Source organism: Homo sapiens, chromosome 11 (assembly GCF_000001405.40).
Source record: "Homo sapiens chromosome 11, GRCh38.p14 Primary Assembly".
NCBI lineage: Eukaryota > Metazoa > Chordata > Mammalia > Primates > Hominidae > Homo > Homo sapiens.
The window spans coordinates 66,731,607-66,749,619 of NC_000011.10; the positions used below are offsets into that span (position 1 = coordinate 66,731,607).

Here is an 18,013-nt window from a genome sequence, read left to right on the forward strand (position 1 = left end):
CTGTCTCTCAGCTGGTTCCTTCCCATCAGCATTTAAACATGCTCAAGCATTTGCCAGCTTAAAAAATAATCAAGAAGCCCCGACTTCCCTCCATGCATTCCCCTTGCTCTTTATGTTCACAGTCTTCCTGAGTCATTTGCACTCATTGGCTTCACTTCCTCGCCCCTGCTCAATCAAATATTTATGCAAAAACTATATGGCTAATTATATACCAGGCACTGTGCTGGGATCTGGGGATATAATGATGAGTAAAATGGATACTGTCTGTTTTCTCTTGGAAGAGCCTGTGGTGGGATTGACAGACATTAATAAAATAACCCATCAGATATATAACCACAAAGTATAATGAGTGTTATGAATGAAAAGTTCAGGATGTTAAGAGAGAACTGAACAGAGTCATAACCTCAGATCACCTGAGCTGAGATCTGAAATATGAGAAGCATTAACCAGACAGAGTGGGGAATAATAATAGCTGTTACTAACATTAACGTGGAACTGTATTTCTAATACTTTACACATAACATTTCATTTAATCCTTTATAACAACTCCAAGAGGTAAGTATTAACCCCATTTCACAGATGAGGAAATGGAGACATTGAGAGATTAAGTACCTTACTCAGGGTCATCAAACCAGGCAAGGGTAGAGCTGGGATTTTAACCCAATCTGACCCTTGAACCCATGTTCTTAGCCACAGAGCATATGGCTAACAGGCCTGATGTTGCAGGACACATGGTGTACATAGGAAATGGAGAAAAGAGGCCGGGTGCAGTGGCTCACGACTTTGTAATCCCAGCACTTTGGGAGGCCAAAGTAAGCGGATCACAAGGTCAGGAGATTGAGACCATCCTGGCTAACACAGTGAAACCCCTTTTCTACTAAAAATACAAAAAAATTAGCTGGGCGTGGTGGCATGCGCCTGTAATCCCAGCTACTCGGGAGGCTGAGGCAGGAGAATTGCTTGAACCCGGGAGGCAGAGGTTGCAGTGAGCTGAGATCATTCCACTACACTCCAGCCTGGGCAACAGAGCAAGACTCTGTCTCTCAAAAAAAAAAAAAAAAAAAAATGGAGAAAAGAGGCTGCGCGCGGTGGCTCACGCCTGTAATCCCAGCACTTTGGGAGGCTGAGGCAGGTGGATCACCTGAGGTCAGGAGTTCGAGACTAGCCTGGCCAACATGGTGAAACCTCATCTCTACTAAAAATACAAGAATTAGCCGGGCGTGGTGGCAAGTGCCTGTAATCCCAGCTACTCGGGAGGCTGAGGCAGGACAATCTCTTGAGCCCAGGAGACGGAGGCTACAGTGAGCTGAGATTGTGCCACTGCACTCCAGCCTGGGGGACAGAGTGAGACTCTTTTTCAAAAAACCAACCAACCAAAAAAAAAAAAAAAAACAATACAAAAGAAATGGAGAAAAGACCAGGGTGCAGGGAAAACAGAGGGGAAGAGGGAATGTGTAGAGAATTGCGACTGGGGAGATAGGCAAGGGCTAGATCATGCAGAGCTTTTTATGTCATTATTTAAAGAATTTTGATTTTCACCTTTAGAGCCCTGAGAGACTATTGAAAGGTTGAAATAAGGAAGTGATAGGATCAACTTTGTATTTTAAAAAGGTCACTGTAGCTGCTATGGGGGGAATAGGTTACTCCAGTTGCTATGGAGGGGTGCAAAGATGTGTGAGAAACCAGTTAGGAGGCTACCACTGTGGGTAGGGTGACAGAGAAGATGGTAGCTTGAACTCAGTTGCTGGCAGTGGAGATGGAGTGCACAGGTTGAAAGAATTAACCAGATGTGGTGATGGGATAGATACAGGGGTGGTGGTGAGGAAAAAGGGTTAGTCAAGGATGAGTTGTGCAACTGGAATAATGGAGCTACTATTTGCTGAGATGAGGAATACTCCAGGAAAACCAGGTTTGGGTGGAGAGATTGTTGGTTTTGGAACCTAGGTTTGAGGTATCTTTGAACCAATCAAGTGGAGATATTGAGTAGTCAATTGTATATGGGCGTGGACTTTAAAGGGGAGGTCTGGACTTAAGATACCCATTTGGAATACATCAGTGTAGAAATAGATGGTAATTGAAGGGGATAGATGAGCATTGATACAATTGACTTAATCCAATGCAACAGAACTTCCACTCTAAAGCTGCTTTCAACAAGGTTGTCAATAATCCTATTGCACCTGGCTAACAAGGTGAAACCCCGTCTCTACTAAAAATACAAAAAATTAGCCGGGCGCGGTGGCAGGCGCCTGTAGTCCCAGCTACTCGGGAGGCTGAGGCAGGAGAATGGCGTGAACCCGGGAAGCAGAGCTTGCAGTGAGCCGAGATTGCGCCACTGCAGTCCGCAGTCTGGCCTGGGCGACAGAGAGAGACTCCGTCTCAAAAAAAAAAAAAAAAAAAAAAATTATCCTATTGCAAAATCCAGCTGTTAGTTTCCAATTGCTGTCTTACTTCTCCTCTTGGCAGCAATTGACTCTAATTATGCCCTGCTTCTTGAAATTTTCTTCTTTTGTTATGGGGTTGCCATTCTCTTGGTTTTCCTTCAACCCTTGTGGTCCTTCTCTGTTTCTTTTGTGAGTTCCTTTTCTGCTTGTCGCTTAATTTTGTTATTGATGGTGGTGTTTTGTCTAGGCCTTTTCTTATTCTCTGCGCTCTTCCTGGGCCATCTTATCTACTGTGCGGCTAGAGTAGTCTCTTTAATACATCAGACAGATCATTCCTCTTCTGGAAACCCTTCAGTGGCTCCCCACTGCCCTTGGGACAAAGTCCAAAGTTCTTAACCAAGTTTGCACACCCTGCTTACCTCTCCAGCCTGGTCTCTCACCACTTGCACTTGGCACTCTGTGTCCTCACCATAAGGAACCTCTTAGAGTTTCCCCAGTGTTTATGGGATTTTGAGCATGCTCTTCCTTCTGGTTGGAATCGCTCTTCCTCTTCCATTCACCCAATGTTTACTCATCCTTCAGGTATCAATTTAGATGTTACTTCCTCTGGAAAGCCCTCCTTGAGCTCCAAGTCTGGGACAGGGGCATTCTGAGAGCACTCCATACTGGATTGTCACTGCCCATTGGTTGTGTTCTCTTTTACAGCATGAGCGCCATGAGGGAAGAGAACACAATTATTTCACAGTTGTATCCCCAGCAGAGCAAACATATAGATATCTGTGCAATAAACTAATGAATGGAAGAAAAGACCTTGGGAGAGAAGAGGAGTCCTTATTGTCAGTAGATGAAACAAAATGTTTTCATATCAAATGATGTATTTCCCATTTCTTTTATCCCTAATCTATCTCCATCACTTAAGCAGCAGCAGCAGCAGCAGCAACGGCAACAGCAAGTAAGTGCTTTGTAGATGCACTGCCCTCTGCATAGGGATGATACAGAGAGATCAAAGTTAAATTCTTCACTTTGGAACCCTTTATTAGACCCTTTAAAATCTACAGCAGAGAGCTGGGCACAGTGGCTCCTGCCTGTAATCCCAGTATTTTGGGAGGCTGAAGCAGGTGCATCACCTGAGGTCAGGAGTGGGAGACCAGCCTGGCCAACATGGTGAAACCCTGTCTCTACTAAAAATACAAAAATTAGCCAGGCGTGGTGGCGCATGTCTGTAGTTCCAGCTACTTGGGAGGCTGAGGCAGGAGAATTGCTTGAACCCAGGAGGCAGAAGTTGCAGTGAGTCGAGATTGTGCCACTACACTCCATCCTGGGTGACAGAGCAAGACACCGTCTCAAAAAAAAAAAGAAAAAAAAAAATTAAGGAGAAGGGGGCTGGGAGGAGAATCCTAAGAGACTGAGAGACTGAGTTTAAAACTTGCAACGATTGACGGCTGGGCATGGTGGCTCACGCCTGTAGCCCTAGCACTTTGGGAGGCTGAGGCAAGAGGATTACTTAAGGCCAGGAGTTCAAGACCAGCTTGTGCAATAATAGTGAGACCTCCATCTTTACAAAAACTTTAAAAATTATCTGGGCATGGTGGTGTATGCCTATGGTCCCAGATACTTGGGTGGTAGAGGTGGGAGAATTGCTTGAGCCTGGGAGGTCGAGGCTGCAGTAAGCCATGACCATGCCACTGCACTCCAGTCTGAGCAACAGAGTGGGACCCTGTCTCAAACAAACAAAAACAAAAAACCAAACTTGCAACGATTGCATTATTTATTTTTTTTAATCATCCAGCTCAAAATGTCAGATTGCGTTATCTTGATTGGTGAAGTTAATTCTTTTTTAGCTATCAGTAGAAATGAGAGCTGACGAACTAAGTTGAGAAATAAAGAAAATGACATATTTCCTCACTTGAGTCTATGACTTGAAATTGTAAACAAGCATGCTGCACAAGTAAAGGTCGGAAAGGTGGCTTGCTAGGGGAGCCTGATAGCTTCCGAGGACTGACCTGATTTCCTGTGATTACTTAGACCATGAAGTCAGCTTGGTCTTGGCCAGCTTGGGGCATGGTTTGCAAAGGATAATCAAGTATTCGAAAGCAAAAGTCTGCAAATGAGCCAAGATAAAGTGCCACATCAGATAGGGAATTCTAACAGGTGGGGGTAGGTGGAGGTGGGGTACAGAGGACTGAAGACAGTCATGCCTTGAGCTCCCTTACACAGTGTAGAAAAGTGTGGGTTCTCAGAGCCCCAAGGGATGTTCTAAGCTGAGCGATGCTGTGAGTGCATGCTGCTATTGATGAAATCGGAGAAAGTAGAACCGATTTGAGAACATGGAAATATTACATCCATTTATCTTTCTCCAGGTGGGACTCAAACCAGCACTTATTTATGGACGATCCCTCTCAAACGATTTTTAACTTGCAAACCTAAATGCCATTAAAAACTGGGCCCATATGAATGATTCAGACTCATCTGGGAGCAGTCTGGGACCAACCATGATTCTCAATACCTTTGAGTTTATCAGTCAATAACGAACCACTTTTTCTTCCAAGAAGCTCATGCCACTAACCCCTGTGAATACACAGACCTTTGAGAAAGTGTCTTAATTTGTTCAGCAGCAATAAGAAAAACAAGAAAAGAAAAAGTGTCTGATTACACTCATCTGCTTAAAATAAATTTTGATGGCATCTGTTTAATACTAATAACTGAGGGGGAAGGCTTCGGGGTTCCTCAGTTGAATTGCACTAGAAACTGAGTTGTACTAGAAAACCCAGGGCACTCAGAGAAGAATAGGTTTTGTGTACATCTTTGAAGCTATAGACATTTGAGGTCAGTTTTCTGTATCTCAGCCTAATTTACTTGTGCTGTGGCGCACAGCTAGTAGCTAGTCATGTCAACTACTATGGCTTCTGAAACTTCCAGGGTGTGAAGATATCAGACCGTGTTTGAATTCTGGTTCATCTTTTTCTAATTGTGTGAACTTGGACAAGGTATTTAACTTCTCTAAGCATGAGCTTCCTCATCTGTAAATCAGGGATAATTTTACAGAAGGAAGTTGTGATGAGAAATTAAATAGTGCTTGTCAGATGCATGACACCTGGTACCAGATAAGGGCCCAATAAGTGTTAGCTATTACTGTTATCATTATTTTACTTGTTTTGTATGTAGGCAAACCTTGCCTTAGGTAAAGTATAATGTATGAAAATCTAGATTTGCATAAAATGTTAAAGGGGGAGATTATTTGCATTACACAAGGATTCTTCAGTTTATGAAAGAACTGATAACAGGGTTTCTTTTAAACAGTCAACTTCTCAGTATGTCTAAAATGATTTGATTCATACAAAACTTGGCTTATACAATGTTTTAGGAACACAGCTAGCATACAAAGCACAGGATATCTATAATACAATCATTCAGGCCAGGTCTGAGCCACTGTGACAAGTTAACAATTACACTCCTGGGTATTCTCCACGCCCCTTTATAAAGGGATTAGATGGATTCTCTGTGGGTTCAACAGGCAGATCTGGGACCAATGGGTGGAAGACATGGGGCAGAGAAAGGGAGTAGACTTTAGCTTGATATAATGAAAAACTCTCTACAAAACCACTGCTGCCCAAAGCTGGAATGGGTTGCCTCTGAGGCGGCAAATTTCCCAACACGAGATATTCAAGTAAAAGCTAGATACCAACTTGTTATGACTGTTAGAATGATTACTGCATGAAATAGAGAGGTGAAGTACGTCAGTGTTTCCCAACCCTAAACACACTAAATACACTATGTAAACTGGACCAACACTCTACCTTGGATACCAGAAAGAGGTTGAGGAAGGAGGTAGAGAGAAGCTAATCAGGAGAAGAGGTGGGGATAAAGGAAATGAGTTGAAAAAAATATTGCTTCTCTGGCTGGGAAATACTAGATTAAATGACCTTTAAGATTTCTTCTAATTTAGGCCGGGTACGGTGGCTCACGCCTGTAATCCCAGCACTTTGGGAGGCCGAGGCAGGTGGATCACCTGAGGTCAGGAGTTTGAGACCAGCCCGGCCAACATGGTGAAACCCCATCTCTATGAAAAATACAAAAATTAGCTGGGTGTGGTGGCAAATGCCTATAATCCCAGCTACTCAGGAGGCTGAGGCAGGAGAATCACTTGAACCCGGGAGGCAGAGGTTGCAGTGAGCTGAGATCACACCACTGTACTCCAGCTTGGGCAATAAGAGCAAAACTCGGTCTCAAAAAAACAAACAAACAAAAAAAAGATTTCTTCTAATTTAAATATTCTAAAACTCTGATTGTTTCATAGACATTATTTTAACTATATTTCTGGGAGGATTTTCCTATTTTAGGTATGGAAAACTAAAACATAACACCTAAAGAAAGAGGTAAAATGGGAAAAGAATAGAGACATCCTGACCCTTTCAGACCTTTGATCCCATAGTCTCTTTCCAATTGGTGAGAATGAAAGTTGGGGAAACAGAAGTCAGAAGTGGCCTTAACGCCAGAACAGATGAAAATCAAATTGACTTTATTATTTTTAAATTATTATTATTTTTGAGACGAAGTCTCTCTCTGTTGCCAGGCTGGAGTGCAGTGGTGTGATCTCAGCTCACTATAACCTGCACCTCTCGGGTTCAAGCAATTCTCCTGCCTCAGTCTTCTGAGTAGCTGGGACTACAGGTGCTCGCCACCACGCCCGGCTAATTTTTGTATTTTTAGTAGAGATGTGGTTTCACCATGTTGGCCAAGATGGTCTCTATCTCCTGACCTCATTACCTGCCTGCCTCGGCCTCCCAAAGTGCTGGGATTACAGGCGTGAGCCACTGCGCTTGGCCATTATTATTATTTTTTGAGACAGTGTCTCACTCTGTTGCCCAGGCTGGAGTGCAGCAGCCCAATCTCAGCTCACTGCAACCTCTGCTTCCCAGATTCAAGCAATCCTCCCACCTCAGCCTCATGAGTAGCTGGGACTATAGGTGCTCACCACCATGCCTGCCTAATTTATTTTTTGTAAAGGCAGGGTTTGCCATGTTGGCCAGGCTGGTCTTGGGCTCCCGAGCTCAAGCGATCTGCCCACTTTAGCCTCCCCAAATGCTGGGATTACAGGCGTGAGCCAACGTGCCGGGCCTAAGTTTTAATTTTTTTAAAGATGAGGTCTCATTATGTTGTCCAGGCTGGTCTCCAACTCCTAGGCTCAAGCAATCCTCCTGCCTAGGCCTCCTCAAGTGCTGGGATTACAGGCGTGAGCCACTGTGCACAGCCAAGTCAACTTTTAGAGATCGGTGAAAAATCAGCTCAACTAAGGTTCCAGAAAACTAGCTTTAAAGACTGTACACCTGTATCCCTGGCAAAGTGCTTCGGAGTACTGTAATCACACACAGTCAGGATGTCTCAATTCTTTTCCCATTTTACCTCTCTTTAGGTGTTATATTTTAGTTTTCCATAGCTAAAATAGGAAAATTCTCCCAGGAATATAGTTAAAATAATGTCTATGAAACAATCTGAGAGTTTTAGAATATGTGGAGTCAATGTCCTCTTTAATGAGGCTGCTGGAAGAATTTTTGTCTCAATTAGCCTACCTGTCTTTCAAATACAGTTGATCATCTGGTCTTTGGATCAATAGGTTTACTTGACCATATGTGACCACATTACAGTGCTGTTTGCATTCCCAAGGTTTCTAAGTCACAAAGAATACTTCTCTTCCAGTGGACATCAGCTGGCAGGACAAATCCAGCCCTACTTAGAGATAAGGTAAAAAGCCAATTATAGCCTGGGCGCAGTGGCTCACGCCTGTAATCCCCCCAGCACTTTAGGAGGCTGAGACAGGCAGATCACATGAGGTCAGGTGTTCGAGACCAGCCTGGCCAACATGGTGAAAGCCTGTCTCTACTAAAAATACAAAAATTAGCCAGGTACGGTGATGCATGCCTGTAATCCCAGCTGCTCGTGAGGCTGAGGCAGGAGAATAGCTTGAACCCAGGAGATGGAGGTTGCAGTGAGCCGAGATCCTGCCACTGCACTCCAGCCCAGGCAACAAGAACAAAACTCCTTCAAAAAAAAGCCAGTTACACAGGGCAGAACCACTTTGTGATGTAGATTTTATTGGCTATCTAGGCAGAGGAAAAATTGGACAATAATAGGAAAGGAATGAAATCTCCTGGGCTGGCCCAGCACCTGCTACTGGTGGATGAGAAATCAGACTTTGTGCAAAGGGTGACTTGGCCAGGAAGAACAGGAAGTTAGTCAGTATCATAGTCAGTTATTCAAGGAGAGGAAGAAAACAGGGAATGGGGGTGAAGAACGAAATACTCGAGTTATATAAACTTTGGTACTGTCCCAGGAAAAGAATCTCTCTTTTCCCCTAAGTCTTAGAAAGGGGAAGAACAGATGCTGTAGTCCAAGAATTGCACAAAAGTCAGCACCATTATGGCCTCTAGTTGCCCCCATTAGCCCAATAATATTCCTCTGCTAGAACATCCCTGTCTGACCCCTGATAAGAAAGCAGAGGGAGGTGAGTGGTGAAGCTGCCCCAGATTCTGTGCTCCAGGTGGAGAAGGCCTCAAGAAGGTGAAGGGATGAGCTAATCTGAGCCTCATGGCCCCATTTCCAAGGATGTGATTAGTGGAGAGTCACCTGGGACCTGCTCCATTTCAGGAAACCCGGTTATGGGAACTGGTATGGGACAGACTTTGCTCAGGACCCGAGAGAAGCAGTTAACCCTTTCCTACTGTCTGGATGGGAAACAGCTTAATAGTTGCTTGGTTCTTTCCCAGGGGAGGGAGTCTTCAAATGGACTTCCTTTTGCATCAGCTTGGAAAGGCGGACCTCAAGGATATTTTCTACTTAAGTTCCTAGGGTCAGCCTCTTTAGGGCATTTGAAAGCTCTAGGGGAGCCTAAGAAACAAGGTGGGGCCTTAAGAAGTGTCTAGGAGACACAGAGAGGGCACATTCAAAAGGAAAGCTCAACAGTCCCTAAAATGTCATTGTTCATCTGGCAGCACTCCCTAGGATGTTCTGGTTCCACTCAAACCCTTGAGTTTGGGTCAGAATCAGTCTTGGGCTCTTCTTATAGGGGGGCAGGGAGTGTGTCTCAGACAGAGGGTTTCTTTTTGGAATAAACAAGATATCCAAAGTAGACATGTGATATGGTTTGGCTGTGTGACCATCCAAATCTCATCTTGAAGTGTAGTTCCCATAATCCCCATGTGTCATGGGAGGGACCAGGCGGAGATAATTCAATCATGGGGGCAGTTTCCCTCATCCTGTTCTTCTGATAGTGAATTAGTTCTCAAGAGATCTGATGGTTTTATAAGGGGCTTCCCCCTTCACTGGGCACTCATTCTTCCCCTTCCTGCTGCCATGTGAAGAAGTATCTGTTTACTTCCCCTTCTGCCATGATTCTAAGTTTCCTGAGGCCTCCCTAGCCATGATGAACAATGAGTCAATTAAAACTCTTTCCTTTATAAATTACCCAGTGTCGGGTATGTCTTCATGAGAATGAACTAATACAACATGAAACAGTAATATAAATTCTGAGGTGGGTGCAGAAATGGAAGCAGAATCAATATGTCACCCAGTCTAAGGACTGGAAATAACTGGCTCCCTACAGACACTGCCAATAAATGAGACCTGGAAGGCCAGGGCTGAAAATATCGAGAGCCATACTCAAAGCCTCCTTGGTTGGCCTAGTTAACTAAGGTGACCTTAACCAAGGGCAGGTCATTTAGTTTCTTTGGGCTTCAAATTTCTTCATCTTAATAGATAACTGATAATTTCCAAAGTCCCTTCTGGCTCTAACATTCTAGTGTTCTGAGGATGAGGTCTGAGCAAAAAACCGTTTTTAAAATTTTAATTTTTTTTTTGAGACAGGGTCTTGCTCTGTCACTAAGCTGGAGTGCAGTGGCATAATCATAGCTCACCGCAACCTCCAACTCGAGGGGCTCGAGATCCTCCCACCTCAACCTCCCAAGTAGTTAGGACTGTAGGCATGCATCACTGTACCTGGCTAATTTTTAAATTTTTTTGTAGAGACAGGCTGTCACTATAATGCCCAGGTTGGTCTCAAACTCCTGGCCTGAAACAATCCTCCTGCCTTGGCCTCCCAAAGTGCTGGAATTACAAGCATGAGCCACCATGCCTGATTTATTCATACAACTTCTTCTTGGATTCTCATTTTTATCATTTCTAAAACAAAGATAACATCTTTCTTACAAGATTACAAAATTGGGAGAACTGCTTAAGATGAATAAGAAAAAGTGAAGAGCACTTAGCACAGAGTGGATTCTCACCATATATCAAGCCTATATTGCATGCTGCCTGAATACGTGGGTTTACGCTACGGAAGTCCTGATGGCAAACCCTCATATCGAAGGCTTCCCTCCTTGCTTCTCCCTATGTCCAGTAGGGAGGACAGCTGTGTCCCTGGCTACCTTTGAGAGGCCTCCACTGCCTCTAGGGTGGTATTGGGTGCTCCATTACACCTTTATCCCTGAAGTTCATTCCAAGGACAAGGGCTGAAAGCTAGAGGCTCATTTCCAAGGACAAGGGCTGGAAGCTAGGAAACCAACTCATCTTCATTCTCAATGCCATTCTCAAGGTGGAGCATTTTCTGCTGGGCCAACACTCACAATGATAATTTTTTTTTTTTTTTAGACAGAGTCTCACTCTGTCAGCCGGGCTAGAGTGCAGTGGTGTGATGTCAGCTCACTGCAACCTCCACCTCCCGGGTTCAAGCAATTCTCCTGCCTCAGCCTCCCAGGTAGCTGGGACTACAGGCACATGCCAACACGCCTGGCTAATTTTTGTATTTTTAGTAGAGGTGGGGTTTCACCATGTTGGCTGGGCTGGTCTCGAACTCCTGACCTCAAATGATCCACCCACCTGGGCCTCCCAAAGTGTTGGGATTACAGGCGTGAGCCACTGCGCCCGGCCACGATGGGAAATATTTTAAAGAACCATCCTCAATACCTTGGTTTCTCACCCATAAAATAGTGACGATAACAATTTTCTTACAAGATAGTTGAGAGGATGACATCATTTATGTAAAGAGCTAGTGGGGTCCGACAACAAGCAGTCATTCAATGTTACTGGTCCCTTCCCCTTGGCAACTCCTCTTCTGAAAAAGGACAAGAGACTGGGGGTGGGGATGGGGAGCTCTGCGGGGGGTGTGGGGGGAATGAAAGGAAGACTCCAATGATTCCTCAAATGCCAGCTGTTTATCAAGTTTGATGGTTACGATGGATTTTCCAGAAATAAAAGCTACCTTGCTCCAATAGGTCTACCTGTGAGCAACTGAGATGGGGAGGAATGGGGAGGAGCGCTGAGCATAGACTCGAGAAGGGTATGATTCAGGTCTCGATAGACAATGTTCTTTGGAGTAGCACCAAGGTTGTGTACTGGGCAGGCACTCTGCCAGCTCGCCAGCCTGTTCTGTCCAATCCTGGCGTCTTGGAGCTGGGGTGGAAGAATTTTTCCTGAAGGAAAGCAGCCAACACCCTGTCCCACCCTTCTCCTTGGGCAACTCTTTGCCAGGCAGGAATCTCTCATCAGGGTTTTCTTTTGGCTGTCAGATCACCAGCAGTTATAGGCTTAAGCCCCTGTCACCATGCCCCTCCCGGAACCTGGCAGAGAGCAGCAGCTGGGACTCTGCAGGACCTCCTTATTCCAGCCAGGAATGCACTTGGAAAACCCCAGAGCTTCTCCTGTCAGCCAGAGCCCAGAAAAGCCAGCTCCTGGTCTTGGCACATTCAGTGCAGTCAAACGTGGAAAGGGGCCTGGATAGGGAGGGGTCGACTCCCAGGTCCCACCTTTGCGGGGGAAGCTGGTCCCCCTGGATTAGGCTGGGAGATGCTTGGGGCTGGTTGTAAGGTAAAAGACGGGGGGTCGTTTTTTCTTTTTTTGAGACAGAGTTTCGCTCTTTTTGCCCAGGTTGGAGTGCAATGACGCGATCTCGGCTCACTGCAACCTCCGCCTCCCAGGTTCAAGCAATTATCCTGCCTCAGCCTCCCGAGTAGCTGGGATTACAGGCGCCCGCCACCACGCCCGGCTAATTTTTGTATTTTCAGTAGAGACGGGGTTTCACCATGTTGGCCAGGCTGGTCTCGAACTCCTGACCTCAGGTGATCCACTCGCTTCGGCCTCCAAAAGTGCTGGGATGACGGGCGTGAGCCACTGCGCCCGGCCCAGGGCGTCGTTTTTAATTTCAGATTAGTAATTTTTTAGTATATGTCCCAAAAATTGCCGAGATATGTGTATGGTTATAAAAAAAATTCGCTGTCTATATGAAATTCAATTTTAATTGGCCGTCTTTTTCTTTGCTAAGTCTGGGACCCAGGGCTTGGCCTGGGGCAGCCCCCGCCGCAGACAAGGCTGTTGGAGGGGTCACGAACCCGCTTGGTAGCCCCGCGCCGTTACCGTCGCCCCTCCCGGCCGAGGGAAGGGTCCTGGAAAGCGCGAAGGGCGGCCAAAGCCCGGATTAGGGCCAAGGGCCGCATCTCGCCGCCACCGTGGGAAACTATCTTTGAGAGGAGGGAGGAGTCGTGGCCTGGCCTCATTCCCGCTCACCTCCAGCCTTGGCCGCCTCTCGCGGGCTCTTCCCCGCCCCGAACCTCCCACCTGCGGGCCCACTGGCACCCGCGGCGCTCAGAGGCTCTAGGTGGCTCCCGGCGGCGGTTCGCGGTCTCGGGGCCCTGCAGCGTCGAGTGCGCAGGCGCGGCGGGCAGGTGGGCGGGGCGTGCGCGGGCGCAGGCGCGCGCGCGGGAAGGGATGGGCTCGCGCTGCCGGGCGTGGGCGTGGACTCGGGCGTGGGCACTGGCGGAGTTCCAAGCCCGGGCTGAGGAGGGGGCGGCGGCGGCGGCGGCGGCGGCGGGCGGGTACCCTTCGACTGGGCGTTGCCGCTGTTCCCTGCGCGGCATGGAGGGGACGGCCGTGGCCGTGTTCGAGGTGATGCTGGGAAGGGAGAGAAAGCGGAGGACACTTTCTGAGGAGACGGGCTTTGTGAGGAGACCGCGAAGTTTGGGCAGAGGGGTCGGGCGTCGCCTAAGGTGAAGGAGGAAGGTTCGGGAATCGAGGCCCGTCTCCCACGGGGAAGCGAGGAAGTAGGAGCAGATGAGGGCTCTCGCTCGCGGGGTACTCTGTGGGGGAACGACGCCCTCTCTCCAGCCTACGGCTCAGAAAGCTGCGGCGTTTGCCGAGCACCGGCGGACACCCAGGGGCAGAGCCTGACGCAGCCTCGGAGGTGCCTGCCGGAGCCCAGCGCCTTCCATGCACCGGGTGCTGGGAGGGGGCGCGGAAAGAAGGAAAGGAATGGGGCAAGCCCTGGCGTTGCGGGGCGGGGTGGGGGGAGTCGGGGCGCCAGGACAGAGGCAAGGAGGGACCCAGTGCAGACTGGGAGCGAGGGAGAGTTTTTTTAGGCCCCGGTGCAGGTGCAGGTTTCTGGGTTCGAAGCAGCTGGACGTGGAAGGGCGAGGTTCAGAGGCCACACCTGTGCTCGGGGAGCTGCTCTGGAAGACGGCACTGAGCGCCTGGCGCCGGCCACGCCCCGTGTGCTCATTTCATTACCCACTTTCACGGCCGGTGCCCAATGGGACGTTGAGCTGCTGTTTGTGAGGGGTACTGGGCAGGTGACAGAAGCACAGGCTCTGAGGGCACCTGAGAGAGTACCCCCGGGCGTCCTGCCTGTTTGTTGTCATCAAAGAAGGCGGCGGGATTCCATTTTACAAATAACCGAACCTAGGCTAGAACCCAGGGCGCTGACTCATAGGCCAGTGTTCTTTTCCCAACTGCGCTGTCATACCGACATGAGAATATCTTTAGGGTTTGTTTGTTTGTTTGTTTGTTTGTTTGTTTTTTGAGACGGAGTCTCGCTCTTTCGCCCAGGCTGGAGTGCAGTGGCGTGATCCCGGCTCACCGCAGTCTCCGCCTCTCGGGTTCAAGGGATTCTCCTGTCTCAGCCTCCCGAGTAGCTGGGATTACAGGCGCACGCCGCTACACCTGGCTCATTTTTGTATTTGTAGTAGAGACAGGTTTTCACCATGTTGGCCAGGCTGGTCTTGAACTTCTGACCTCAAGTGATCTGCCCGCCTCCGCCTCCCAAAGTGCTGGGACCGGCGTGAGCCACCGTGCCCGGCCCGATATGGGAATATCGTAACAGAGGACGTGTGAAGGAATAGTTAGACTCTACACGTACCTGGAAACCATTCTTGTTAACTGGTACAAATGAGGATCTTAGTTCCCAGATCTCCCTGCCTTTAAAAAGGGGGTAATAATTTTCCTTGTGTTGCCTCCCTGTAAAAGTGAGAATCTGTTTGCATGAATAATAATGGGAGTTGGCCGGGCGCGGTGGGTAGCCTGTATTCTCAGCACTTTGGGAGACCGAGGCGGGCAGATCACTTGAGATCAGGAGTTCAAGACCAGCCTGGCTAACATGAGGAAACTCCGTCTCTGAAAAAAATACAAAAATTAGCGGTGGCTCACGCCTGTAATCCCAGCACTTTGGGAGGCCGAGGCAGGCGGATCACCTGAGGTCGGGAGTTCAAGACCAGCCTGATCAAAATGGAGAAACTCCGTCACTACTAAAAATACAAAATTAGCCAGGTGTGGTGGCACATGCCTGTAATCCTAGCTACTTGTGGGGCTGAGGCAGGAGAATCGCTTGAACCCAGGGGGCGGAGGTTGCAGTGAGCTGAGGTCGCACCATTGCACTCCAGCCTGGGCTACAAGAGCAAAACTCCATCTCAAAAAAAAAAAATTAGCAGGGTGTGGTGGCAGGCGGCTGCACTTCCAGCTACCTGGGAGGCTGAGGTGGGAGGATCACCTGAGCCCGGGAGGTTGAGGCTGCAGTGAACCATGATGATGCCATCACTGCACTCCAGCCTGGGAGTCAGAGTGAGACTCTGTCCCCTCTCTCCCCCCAAAAATAAATGAAATATATTTTATTTTCAATTTGTCTCGAATAAATGTGTTTTTTTTTTTCTTTTTGAAACGGAGTGTTGCTGTTGCCCAGGCTGGAGCGCAGTGACCCAATCTTGGCTCACTGTGGCCTCCACCTCCCGAGTTCAAGCAATTCTCCTGCCTCAGCCTCCTAAGTAGCTGGGGCTACAGGCACACACCACCACACCCGGCTAATTTTTGTATTTTTAGTAGAGATGGGGTTTCACCATATTGGCCAGGCTGATCTTGAACTCCTGACCTCAGGTGATCCACCGCCTCAACCTCCCGAAGTGCTGGGATTACAGGTGTGAGCTACCACACCCGGTCGATTAAATGTTTTACCCAGACATCTTGGAGTCCTGTTCAACTTAAAATATTGTGTGTAGTCTTTACTGCATTAGAACTTAGAAATAATAGCTAATATCTGTTAAGCATTTGCTATTTGCCAAGTACTGTGTTAAGCATTTTGCACATATTTTTATTTAATTTTTTTTTTTTTTTAGTAGAGATGGGGCCTCACTATGTTTCCAGGGCTCAAGCGATTCTCCCACCTTGGCCTCCCAAAGTGCTGGGATTACAGGCATGAGCCACTGCGCTCAGCGTTGCACGTACCTTATTTGTTTACTTTCAGCAGCAGCCCTATGTGGTAGTTTTATCCCCATTTTAATAGATGAGGAGTCTGTGGTTTGGAGAGATTAAGTAATTTGCCCAAGGTCACATGCTAGAATTTGGCACATCAGGGATTCAAATCCAGGTGTGGAGTGCAGTGGCCTGATCAGGGCTCACTTCAGCCTCAATCTTATGGGCTCAAGAGATCATCCTGCCTCAGCCTCCCCAGTGGCTGAGACTACAGGCACACGCCACCACGCTGGGCTAATTTTTGTTGTTGTTAGTAGAGATAAGGTCTGCGTATGTTGTCCAGGCTGATCTCAAACTGTTGAGCTCAAGTGATCCTCTCACCTCGGCCTCCCAAAGTGCTGGGATTGCAGGCATAAGCTACCGCGCAGGGCAGCATTAGCACTCTTAAATAGTATTCTGACCCTCAAAAGTGTTGATTTAATGAAAGATCAAGATGATTCATAACCAGATGCCACTCTTATTCATAGTCTTCATGTTGGCTTTTATTTGGGGCAGGAAAAAAGAAACAAGAAAAACAAACTCCCACTTAATTTTTCCCTAATTATTATTTCCAGATGAATTTATCTTCTGAATAAAGGAATTTATTGTCTCAATTTCCTGTCTTACTGGGCATTATGTTGAATTTCACTGACTCTTTTCTTATGTCACTCTCCTAGCTATTTATTTTGTTTAGACACAATACTCTGAACAAACCTAAATCTGACATTTTAGAAGCAAGAATACAATTTTTGGGGGGAAATTAGAGTTACTAATTTAACTGGGTCATAGAGATGTATTATTACTGTGATTTCTAAAGAAGATTATGTTTTCTTTGAATTGTGCTCTTTTCAGATTTTGAGATTTTTAATAATTCACTGGAAGTGTGACATAGATGTATCAAAGGGAGCATTGCTAGAAGGGCAGCTAGTGATTTCCATAGAAGGATTAAATTCTAAGCACCAGGCAAATGCTCTTCATTGTGTAACAACTAGTAAGTAGAGAAAGAAAAAATATTTTCTATCTCTTTTGTCATGGTTTATGTCGTAGCTTATTTAAAAATTTCAATTAGAATCTTTTATCATGTTATTCCAGGATTGTTCCATAATTATAAAATGAAATGATTATGTAATAAGTGTCTGGTGGTAGATTTACAAATGTATCATACAGGAAAGGTGAGTAGTTGAATGACTCTTACCATAGATTATTTATTTTACTGGTTTAAGTTAAAATTGCTCAGAAACAATCTTATTTTTCTCTTGATTTTAATCTACTTTGTCACAGCTAAATTATATTACATTGAGCTTTACCTACTTTTTTTTTCCCAAGTCTAAATTTTGGCAGTAGCAAAAAAAAAAAAAAAAAAGGAAAAATGATGAATGGTGCATACTGTGATTAGTTTGAAAATATCTCTTCCATTTGGCTTTCATGCTTTTATCATTTTTGCCTGTTGTCTTTGAGGGAAACCTGATGCAGTGAGTGGCTCTGAAGCATGAATTTTCTTAAACTTGAAGTGTTAGCTTTTTGTGTGTGTGTGTGTGGTGTGTGTGTGTGTAGGTTTATTGAAGGGTACTTTGGATTGAAGTTGCCCCTTCAGGCTTAGAGAAGTCACTTGGGCACCAAGTTGAGATTGGATAGTGAACTAGGCTTTACAAGACATTTGCTTACCTGAACAGGAATGACCTGTCTTGTCTTTGTGTATTAATATTAAACATCTTCAAGAGCAGTATGACAGGTTGGTTTGCTCTTACTCTGCATGAACTGCACTCTGACTGGCAGGGTTCCCACCACTCTTGAGAGAAATGCTTGGCTACGTGTCTAGGGTGATGGTTGGTCTGTGTGTGGTTGTAATAGTCTAATCCAATAAACTCTGGCCAGGGTAGCAAGGTTGATTTAATTCAAAGCAAAGGACTTTAGCCACAGTAGTTTTTGGCAAGAAACTCGATTCTGCATTTTGAGCCTGATGAACTTCTTTAGCCCACCTAGAATAGGGGGCATTTCTCTTCTCTTTATTGTCTCTGAGCTTTAAGTAATTATGGTTATAATTATTTATTTATTTATTTAGAGATGGAGTCTCACTCTGTCGCCCAGGCTGG

General features: G+C 46.4%; 2 protein-coding genes across 3 annotated transcripts in view, besides 7 other annotated features; one reads left to right on the top strand and one right to left on the bottom strand.

Moving 5' to 3' along the window:
- Positions 1-13,076, bottom strand: part of SPTBN2 (spectrin beta, non-erythrocytic 2) — a 62,186-nt gene extending 49,110 nt beyond the window's left edge. Inside the window, exon 1 of the mRNA XM_047427495.1 lies at positions 12,936-13,076. The gene's annotated coding sequence lies outside the window, so the exon portion shown is untranslated. The remainder of the gene's footprint in view (positions 1-12,935) is intronic.
- Positions 12,390-12,890: an enhancer, noted in NCBI's record as "H3K4me1 hESC enhancer chr11:66511467-66511967 (GRCh37/hg19 assembly coordinates)". NCBI's record gives its function as "activates a minimal SCP1, AML or CMV promoter by ChIP-STARR-seq in naive H9 embryonic stem cells {active_cell/tissue: H9 hESC(naive)}" and the evidence as "EXISTENCE:reporter gene assay evidence [ECO:0000049][PMID:30033119]".
- Positions 12,852-13,241: a silencer, noted in NCBI's record as "silent region_3601". NCBI's record gives its function as "represses an Ori minimal core promoter by ATAC-STARR-seq in GM12878 lymphoblastoid cells {active_cell/tissue: GM12878}" and the evidence as "EXISTENCE:reporter gene assay evidence [ECO:0000049][PMID:35858748]".
- The window catches only part of TOP6BL (TOP6B like initiator of meiotic double strand breaks), a 98,748-nt gene continuing 93,897 nt past the window's right edge, over positions 13,163-18,013 (top strand). The window contains exons 1-2 of one of the 2 annotated variants that reach the window (NM_024650.4): positions 13,163-13,313; positions 16,773-16,911. In NM_024650.4, the coding sequence (NP_078926.4) occupies positions 13,284-13,313; positions 16,773-16,911 (169 nt within the window). In that variant the 5' untranslated portion in view covers positions 13,163-13,283. The remainder of the gene's footprint in view (positions 13,314-16,772; positions 16,912-18,013) is intronic. The other variant, NM_001302084.2, reaches the window with a different exon arrangement.
- Positions 13,214-13,239: a tandem repeat, named in NCBI's record as "fragile site, folic acid type, rare, fra(11)(q13.3)".
- Positions 13,216-13,239: a repeat instability region, noted in NCBI's record as "repeat instability region; expansion of the (CGG)n trinucleotide repeat is associated with fragility at FRA11A". NCBI's record gives the evidence for it as "EXISTENCE:polymerase chain reaction evidence [ECO:0000082][PMID:18160775]" and "EXISTENCE:Southern hybridization evidence [ECO:0000078][PMID:18160775]".
- Positions 13,382-13,491: an enhancer, noted in NCBI's record as "active region_5056". NCBI's record gives its function as "activates an Ori minimal core promoter by ATAC-STARR-seq in GM12878 lymphoblastoid cells {active_cell/tissue: GM12878}" and the evidence as "EXISTENCE:reporter gene assay evidence [ECO:0000049][PMID:35858748]".
- Positions 13,652-13,751: a silencer, noted in NCBI's record as "silent region_3602". NCBI's record gives its function as "represses an Ori minimal core promoter by ATAC-STARR-seq in GM12878 lymphoblastoid cells {active_cell/tissue: GM12878}" and the evidence as "EXISTENCE:reporter gene assay evidence [ECO:0000049][PMID:35858748]".
- Positions 13,932-14,021: an enhancer, noted in NCBI's record as "active region_5057". NCBI's record gives its function as "activates an Ori minimal core promoter by ATAC-STARR-seq in GM12878 lymphoblastoid cells {active_cell/tissue: GM12878}" and the evidence as "EXISTENCE:reporter gene assay evidence [ECO:0000049][PMID:35858748]".